This window comes from Homo sapiens, chromosome 16 (assembly GCF_000001405.40).
Source record: "Homo sapiens chromosome 16, GRCh38.p14 Primary Assembly".
Lineage (NCBI taxonomy): Eukaryota > Metazoa > Chordata > Mammalia > Primates > Hominidae > Homo > Homo sapiens.
The window spans coordinates 36,104,024-36,114,157 of record NC_000016.10 but is presented as its reverse complement, the minus strand read 5'-3'; positions in this window follow the sequence as shown (position 1 = coordinate 36,114,157).

Below are 10,134 nucleotides of genomic sequence, written 5' to 3'. Positions count from 1 at the left end.
TGAAAGCAAATTTATTGAGGGTTAGACAAACTACAAGATAATTTAGGCTGCAAAGTCAACACGAGACTTCTGGCCCAAATTGTGCAGAGTTTGGGTCCAGCTACAAAGTTCAAAGGAAGAGGCCATATAAGATGATTCGCACTTTTGTCACCAACTGCCAGTTCAGGGGTTTCCCGAGAACACCCTCAGTTTCAAGAATTTACTAAAAAGACTCACAGAACTCATTGAATGCCATTGTACTCATGGTTTATAATAAAGAAAGGGTAGAAATTAGGACCAATCAAAGGAAGAGACATAACACATAAGGTGGAATCTAGGAGATTTTGAATGATAAGTTTCCATTGTCTTCAGGACATATTAACTGTCATTGTTGTACAGCAATAAACATGGAGTACTACCAACCTGGGGAGCTCACCTGATGCTAAAAAGACACTATTTCGAAAATGAAAAGACAAAGGAAAGGAGGAGATAAGATGGCCTTCCACATTAAGGCACTGGAAAGAATAGGAAACTAAACCTAAAGCAAGCAGAAGGAAGAAAATAAAAATTAGAGAAATCAATAATTTATAATATTAATCATATTTGTTAGTATTGACTAATTGATATTAATTCTTGACTGACTTTTTTTAAAAAGAGAAATATTCACTTCCCAATTTATTCTATGGGGCCAGTGTTACCTTGATACAAAAATTAGTCCAAATAGCATAGAAAAATAAAACTACTATAAGTATAAATGCAAAATTCCTTAAAAAATACTAACAAATCAGATCTAGCAACATATAAAAGAATTATACACTACAACAAAGTGAAATGTATACTAGTAATCTCAGGTTGGTTTAACAGCCCAAAATCCATTAAGGTAATACATCTTATCCATAGAATAAGAAACGAGAATTGCATGATCATGTCGATAGATTTGGAAAAGACGTTTAACAAAATCCAAATGCTTTAATGATTAAAAATAAAAATAGAAACTCAATGAACCAGGAATAGAGAACTTTCTACACCAGATACATGGCACCTGCGAAAAGCCAACAGCAAGCATGCAACTTAATGGTAAAGGATGCTTTCCTGCTATGGTCAGAGATAAGAATAGGATATATACTTTGACCTCTTCTAGTCAACACTGTACTAAAGATTTTATGCAGGGCAAATCAGCAACTAAAAAAAAAGAGTCACCCATATTGAACAGGAAGAAATAAAACTTTATTTGAAAATAACATTCTTCTATATAGAAAATTTTAAGGAATCCATTGAACGATAGAACTAGTAAATTATTTCAGCAATATTACAGCATACAAGATAAATGTACAAAAATCAATTGCACACATCTTCAATGAAAACCCCAAAATGAAATTAAGAAAACACTTCAATTTAAAATAGCATCAAAAAAAGAAATAATAATTAATTTGGAAAATGTGATACAAGATTTTACTCTGAAAATTAAAAATTATTGTTTAAAGAATATCTGAATAATTAGCAAACATCTTCCACTTGTGAACTGGAAGATTTAATATTGTAGTACTTTACAAGGTGAACTACAGATTTGACGTAATCCCTGCAAGTATCCCAACAGACTTCTGTCTAGAAACTGACAAGCAGATTCTAAAATACACATGTTATTGTAAGGGACTCAAAATAGCCAAAATAGTCTTGATAAAAGAAAACATATTAGTATAATTCACACCCCCGTGCTCCAAACCTTACGGCAAAGCATCAGTAATCAAGACAACACAATACTGATGAAGGTAAAATATATAGATTGATGGAAGAGAATTGAGAGTCCATATATAAAACTATGTATCTATAGTCAATGGATTGTTAAAGTGGTGCCATGTGCAATTCAATGAGGAAGAGACAGTCTTTGAACACACTGGATCAACAACGTACACGTGGGTCGCCACTTGCAAAATAGTAAATTGGAACCCTTACCCCAAAGCATACAAAAATATTAACTCAAATGAATTAAAGACGGCCGGGCGCGGTGGCTCACGCTTGTAATCCCAGCACTTTGGGAGGCCGAGGCGGGTGGATCACGAAGTCAGGAGATCGAGACCACGGTGAAACCCCGTCTCTATTAAAAATAAAAAAAAATTAGCCGGGCGTGGTGGCGGGCGCCTGTAGTCCCAGCTACTCGGAGAGGCTGAGGCAGGAGAATGGCGTGAACCCGGGAGGCGGAGCTTGCAGTGAGCCGAGACTGCGCCACTGCACTCCAGCCTGGGTGACAGAGCGAGACTCCGTCTCAAAAAAAAAAAAAAAAAAATGAATTAAAGACATACATGCAAGAGCTAGGATAAACCATATGCGAAAATCTTCAGGATTTTGGATCTAGCAAAGAAATAGCTGTAACACCAAAAACATGAGCAACAAAATAAAAATTAGATATTTAAAATTTCTTAAAAATTAAAGACATTGGTGTTTCAAAGGACAGCCAAGCAAGTCAAAAAGCAGCTCAAAAATTATGATAAAATATTTGAGAAACAAATATCTATATGTCTGCATATATATGTATCTTGAATATAGAAAAATTGTTTTAACTCAGTAACAAAAATCCCAACTCAAAACTGATAAATGATAGGAATAGATGTGTATCCCAAGAAGATACACGAATGGTCAATAATCCCATAAAAAGATACTCAACAGCATCACTCATCAGGCAACTACAAATCAAAACCACAGTTAGATACACTATAGCTAGAACTGGCCACTTTGGAAAATAGGTTGATGGCTTCTAAATATATTAAACAGAATTGTCATATGACCCAGAAATGTATTCCCAGGTATACCCCCAGAGTATTGGAAAGAGGTGTTCAAACACAAATTGTACACAAGTATTTTAACAGCGGTATTTAAAAATACGCATATGAACCTTGATAGCATTATGCCAACTGAAAGAAGCCAGGCACAAAAGGCCACCTATTGTATGATTCTATTTAGATGAAAATAGAATAGGAAGATCTACAGAGACAGAAAACAGATTTGTGGTTGCTTAGGATTGAGTAGGGGATGAGCGCATAGGAGGTTAACAGCTAGAGAAGGTGAGGCTTCTTTTTGAAGTGATGAAAATGCTCTAAAATTCATTGTGATGATGGCTCCACTTATCTGTGTATATACTAAAAGCCATTGACTTGTAGACATTAATATGTGCACTCTACAGTATGTAAATTATATCTCAATAAATCCTTTCAAAAATACACAGAAGAGTAAGGGGTTTTGGACTGTTGCAGCTGGGAGGCAGTTTGAAATACTGAATAGGTCTCATCGAGAATGTGAGGTTTCAGTAAAGACTTGAGGAAGTTGAATGAGCTGATCAATGGATATATGGAAGATTATCTTTCAAAGCCAAGAAATTAACTAGAGTCTTGGTCATAAGACAGCAGCATGTTGGCATGTCCAGAGGACAGTGAGGTGGCCAGGACCACTGGTAAGATCAAGGGTGAAGACATAAAAGAATTTTGGCGGTTAACATGCGGCAGATCACGATGGGCTTGCAGACTATTGTAAGAATTGTGTCTTTTAGTGTAAATGAAATGGAGAGACAAATCATTATCCCATTATCAATATTTTAATAAATTGGATCCATGAACCAATTCAATGAGATTAAATCAATTAGTAATAATATGCAAATTTGTTTTAAAATTACAAGAATTCCTTGCACATTTGAGAACAGGAGAGTCATGATTGTTTATCAGCAATAATAAACTATTAATTTTAATTGTCATCAGCTAATTGAGATTAATTGCAATACATCATGCTTTATAATGTGACTGTCAAAAGGAAAATATGATTGTAATCTTATACTACATCTATCAATGTCTTTGATTCATAGGACTATAGAATAAGCCCCTAGTTTTCAAAGCAAACTGATGAGGCTGCGACATCTTATGCAAGTTTGCTGCTTTCTGCCACAGTGGTCCTTGGTCAGCTGGCACAAATTGTTTTACAAACACCACTAGGTCTAAAAAACGTTTGGATCACAATGAACGCAGAAACACCTTCATCCCTTCAGAAATACCTATCAATTAGTTCCAATCCAGAATGAAAAATTGACAACGGAAGTATGTTGATTGTAAAAATGACAGATAGCTTGCATCTACATGAAAGAAAAATGCCATTTTTATTACAATAGATCATTGTTTTACATGACTTTTGGCATAGCACAATGTTGAACCAAGGGCAAAGAGAGATGAATTAATGAAGTCTTAAGATATCAAGAATTTGAAAGAAAAGGCAGGTCATCTTTGAAGGTTAGTGACATAGCATTCATCTTCTGTTGTCACCTTTTCCGTCATTCCCTGTATGCCTGATGGACAGCTTTCACTCAAATTCAGAGAACAGCATGCAAAGATTAGCTACCAACTAATTTTTATGAAGTGAGCTTAATTTCTAGCCAGACTGAGCTTGTTTTAGCAGGAAGCATTTTTGGGAAATGTATATGTTAGAGTTTGCCCTTCTTGACAAGGTGAGACATAAATGTCTACTTTAGAGACATGAATTAAAATGGGAAGATATTTGGGGGAAACGTTTTCTCAAATGCAAAATAACAAAGGTACACAAAGGGGAAATTATACTAGATTTATTTCCCACTTGTTTTCTATGTCTCATCCAATTCATCTTGATTCCCTTCAGTTTCTGTTTAATGTAGAAGGTGGCATTTTCATTATTTTAAGCTTCTAGCACAATGAAAGGATTTCTCTTTTTCATGAACTGCATCATAAATGAAAGGGAGGAAGAGTGTCCTATATCATATTTATTGTTCAACAAAACACTGCTCCACTGCTTAAATTCAGTTTATAAAAGAGAATTTATTGAACATCTAACACATACATAAAAGGCAGTAAAGACAAATGAGAAGAGGGCAGGATATTGAAGTATACAGACTTTAATGCTGAGTTTTGTATCTTAGTAAGTTACTGCACCTTACAGAGACTCAATTTCCCCTGATTTAGGAAGGCGATGCTAATGGGTATTGCATAGGTGTAAGTATAAAAATGTTGTATTTAAGAGAATCCCACAAGCTTGGTATAAGACAGAAAATAAATAGATGTGACATTAATGAGTAGTTTATTACATTTGTATGCTGCCTGCAGACTAGAGGAAGCAAGAAACACAGCCACTATGCTTGATTAGCATTATATTCTAATTTGGAATATAAATAGAAAAGAGAAAAATAGAAAGCTATGCATAAACACATGCATTAAAATGAATTTTATGTGGACTATTTCAGGAAAATGTTCCTAAGGTGTTTTATTTTTTATTGTGGTAAAATACACATAACATAAAATGTACTCTGTTAACCATTTTAAGTGTACAGTTCAGTGGTACTAAATAGAGTCATAACATTGTGCAGCCATCCCTACCATCCATCTCCATAACTCGTTTCATCTTGTGAAACTGAAACTCTATACCCATTAAACAGTACTTCCCCATGTCTTCCTCCCCCCAGCTTCTGGCAATCATCATTGTACTACCTCTATGATTCTGTCCACTTTAAGTCTCTTATACAAATGGAATTATACTGTATTTGTCTTTCACTGACTAACTTATTTCACTTGGCATAATATCCTCAAGTTTCATCCAAGTTGCAACATATGTCAGAATATTTCCCTCATGTTTAAGGCTGAATAATTTTCCATTGTATGTATATATCATGTTTTGCTTATCCATTCATCTGTAGTAGGACACTTCCATTGCTTCTACGTTTTAGCTATTGCCAATAATGCTGCTGCAAACATGAATGTACAAATATTTTTTCAAGACTCTGCTTTCAATTCTTTTGCTATCTTGAGATGTGGGGCTGCCGAATCATAAGGCAATACCATTTTGATGTTTTGAGGAACTACCGTACTCTTTTCCACAGCAAACATAGGGTTTGGCATTCCCTCCAATATTGCAAAAGGAATCGCCACATCCTTGCCTGTGGATTTTATTCACAAGTCCTGTGGCTCTCTCTACATCCCGGCCACCATGTGTTATTTCCTGTTTATATATATGACATCAAAGGTGCAGAAAGTAATGAACTAAATTGGAAGGATAAACATGTAGAAAAATAGAGGTAAATACTGACTACATAAAACCATAAGAATAAGAATTTTGGATGATCTATTATATATCTATTTATCTAACATCTATCTGTTCCCCCATCTGTAATTAAAATATATTACAGTTAGAGAACAGAGAAAAAAGTAGGAATACATGAATTTAAATTTTAATTCTTCTTAGATTGTCTCACAGCATCATTATATGACAGAAAATTTATAGGTCAGTATCTGTTAACTATAAACGTAACATTTTTAAAGTATTCAAATACATTGAATTACAGCATGAATAACATATTACAATCCATTCAAGTTTATTTTATTCCAGGAAAACAAAAATACAAATTTCATTTGCAATTCAAGAAAAACAGAAATCGATACATATGATTGATGTATATACACATTTAATGTATTTTTAAATATACATTTTTTAAAAATAAAATTTTTCTAGGACAACTACTTAAAATATCACTGAAAATAGTGTTATTAGATAATACCTTCCTAATGACTCTGGTATTACATAAGAAAACAAAATTAAAATTTCAGATAAGCTTAGAAAGTAAAAATTTTAAAAATATTATTCTGTTCTCCATATGTTCATATTTAATATTATTTCTTGTTTTCATTCTTCTTCAGTGTTGCTCTACTAAAATATAACATACAATGGTTACTTTTGATTTCTGTTCTTATTACTCAAAATTGTATATATTTTCTCATGCTCTTAATTTAGCTATGCTACTTTTCTTTACTCCTGGAATTTTCACATTTGTGTTCACTCTCTTTTGAGTTCCCATAGTATCAAATAAGCTTTTTGCCCTCTTTCTGATTTGAAGGTTCATCTTCTCATAATTATTTTGTCCACTCAGTTTCTTTTCATTCTCAGTTAAGTGCCTCTCATCTGGCTTCTTTTCATTTGTAAGGTTTCCTTTCATCTTAAGCCAATCTTTTATGTATATTTTGATTCTGTTTTTTGGAGGACATGCTTCCCTGAATTTTAAGGAAGAGGCCAAAAGGTTTGTTCAAGTTTTTACCTGATACATTGGATTAAATTATCTAATGTACACACCCTTAATTTAAGTCTAGGGGCGACTGTCTACTCTCGATTTTGTATAGTATTATTTTTCTTAACATCCAAGTCCATCTTCATCTATTTGTATATGATCAATAAAAATATATTTGTCCAGAACCCTGCTTTGGTGGAGTTACTTCTTTCTAAGTAGGAGAGGTAGGAGTTGAGACATGAGCTGGGTTCTGGGTCAGTTTAGAGGGCTGGGCGACATTCCTCCTTTTGGTCTGTATGACTGAATGAATGCGGTTCTTGCTGTCTCGCTCCTCTCCTTAACACATTGAGCCATTGCCGCAGATGAGAAGGAATAATCCTGATCTGCCATTCAGGTGGAACTCTTGTTCTCTCCAACCACATCTATAGGTTGTACTCACACTCGGCCAGAATGTATCCTGTCAATGATATGGAGATGTATCTAGCTATCTAGATAGATATCTACTTTGGTTTATGCTCTCTGGTTGCCCGTAAATTATCTCCTTAAAGTGAATATCAAAAGAGAGCTTGGTGATGGCAGTGTTATAAAATCCTCAAAATGCAGCACCCACACCCAGAGGAATTTGTAGATTCTGGGATTCTAATTCAGATATCAAACATATAAAAGGGGCATTGGTCATTGAGGGTTGCTAGGCTCTTTGTGGAGCATATTTGCTCTTTTCATGACTTTGAAATTATTTTAAAAATCTAACCTTTTTCTCAGTGTGCTGCAAGATGATTTGATTTTAATGCACAAGCACTAATTCTCCCCTAAGATTTCTACAACATATTTGCTCTGACAAGCCATAGCCAGCAACTCACTTCACAGCAATTTATAGCATTTCCATGATAAGTTGAATTATTTTTAACTAGACTCTCTTTGCCTTAATAAAAATATGAAGAAACAATATACTTGTTGTAGTTAGGTTCAAAAGTTGGCAGTCTCTCTCCTGGAAAGAATAATAAAACTTTTCAGCGGCCTAATATGCATCTATAGACACACACACATGCAAGCACTATTCATAATATTTAAAGCACATTCTGTTCTATGACTTCATTTGTCTAGCACAAAATAAAGCGATCTCAGTATATGTCAAGTACCAATTGTTTCGTATGGCCAATTATAGGTATTTTATTTTTTAAAGATTAGAGTGTTCTTGAAGCTCTTTCTATTTCTTTGTCAATGAACTAAACATTAGCAAATATGTAGGGTTTCCCACATAAGAACATTATTAACATCAAAATAGAAAGCTGGTGGTAGAAATAATGATTGGGAACACAGAGTCTCTACTCAGCGTTCTACTTCTGCCATACCATAACTTTGTGATCTCACGAAATATCTCTCCATGTTCTCATCCCTATGTATAGTTCTGTCATTTTTCAATAAGAGCTTTTCATTTAATTATGAAGTACTAGTTACTATAACCATTATTTTGAGCTTCATGTAAATCAAGAACACATGGACTCCACTTGCAAAACATTGAAAATGTAGTTAGGGATTGGGGGCACAAAGCAACATTTTAAAATGTGTAAAGACAATGAGTAAGCAACAAAGTGTCCAATTTTTTAGGTGAAAGTTGCATACGTCAGGAAAAGGCAGGATTAAGTAACAGAGAATTTGAATGATAACTGGCCAGTTGGTGTCGTTTACAATTGCAAGACATACAAATGAAGTTTGCTTTTTTAAAGAGAAAAGGAGTTAGTTAGAATGGGTCAACCTATTGGGGAAGCAATGTAGTTAGAGACAATGCCCAAAACCATGTGAGCAAATGCTCTGTAGAGCGCACCCCTGCAATGCTGCCATTGTGAGGCCAAGTCTCTCCTTGTCTTGGTACTGAGCCCTCCATTCTGCCTCCATCATTGCCACTGTAGCTGCCACAAAATGATCCCTCAACCACCGCTGCCCAGGAACAAAGAAAGAATTCTGTCCTTCTGCGCTCTCAGATCAATTTCCAACATCAGGTGAGACTTTGATGGGCACTATTCAGTTCCCATATCCCTGAAAGAGATGCAGTAAAAACATAGAAATTGCCTATGTGTTTCCCAATAAGACACATATGGAAGCCTGTTTTCCCACAACAGGAAGGGGTTTCCACGATGGGTGTTCAAAGGAACAATATTCCCTGTAAACCATACTTTGCCCATATGAAGAAGAGCAATAAGGATTATTTAGTAAATAGACATGGAAACTCATCCAGGGTTGGCTGATGAGAAGCTGGTTAGCAAGGGGTTCTGTCTTCAGTTAGGACAAGGTCTGTCCTTCCCACGGGTTCTCTCCAAAGCAGGAGGGATGCAAACTTCCCTTTCCTCCCCTGCACCTACCCTCAAATGGCCCAGAGGTCTTCAGGTGCTAGAATTTCTCAATTAATGCTGCAGAAAATAACAGACAGCCTTGACTGTCACTGTCTGTTCTCATGAAGCTAGTCTCTGCTTACTACATAAAACAGAAGAGTAAGAATAACGGTGTTAAACACTACCCTAGCTCAACAAGTTTCTCTCTGTAGGATGCCAAGAACCTGGGAACCAGTGCATCTGCTGCTTTCCCTTCTCGGATTCTAGCCCAGACAAAAGAGGCAATGGGCATTTCTTCAGAGGCCTTGAGCTTCACTACACAATGCCCCAGGCTCTACATGCACCCTCTTTATATATTTCTACCTTGAAAAAAAATTTTATATAATAATATATATTTTTATATAAGGAACACATATGTTTATTTTATAGATAGATATAGATATACATAGATAAAGATCTCTAGTCTGCCTTTTTTAAGGCTGGGCTGATCACGGTGCCCCAAAACTATAATCCCAGCACTTTGGGAGGCCAAGGTGGCCAGATCTCTTGAGTCCAGGAGATGGAGAACAGCCAGGGCAACATGGTGAAACACCATCTTTACAAAAATTAGCTAGTATGGTGGCGTGCACTTGCAGTCCCTGCTACTCAGGAGACTGAGGTGGGAGAATCGCTTGAGCACACTATGTGAAGGCTTCAGTGAGCTCTGATCACATGACTGCACTCCATCTTGGGTGACAAAGTGAGACCCTCTCTCAAAATAAAATA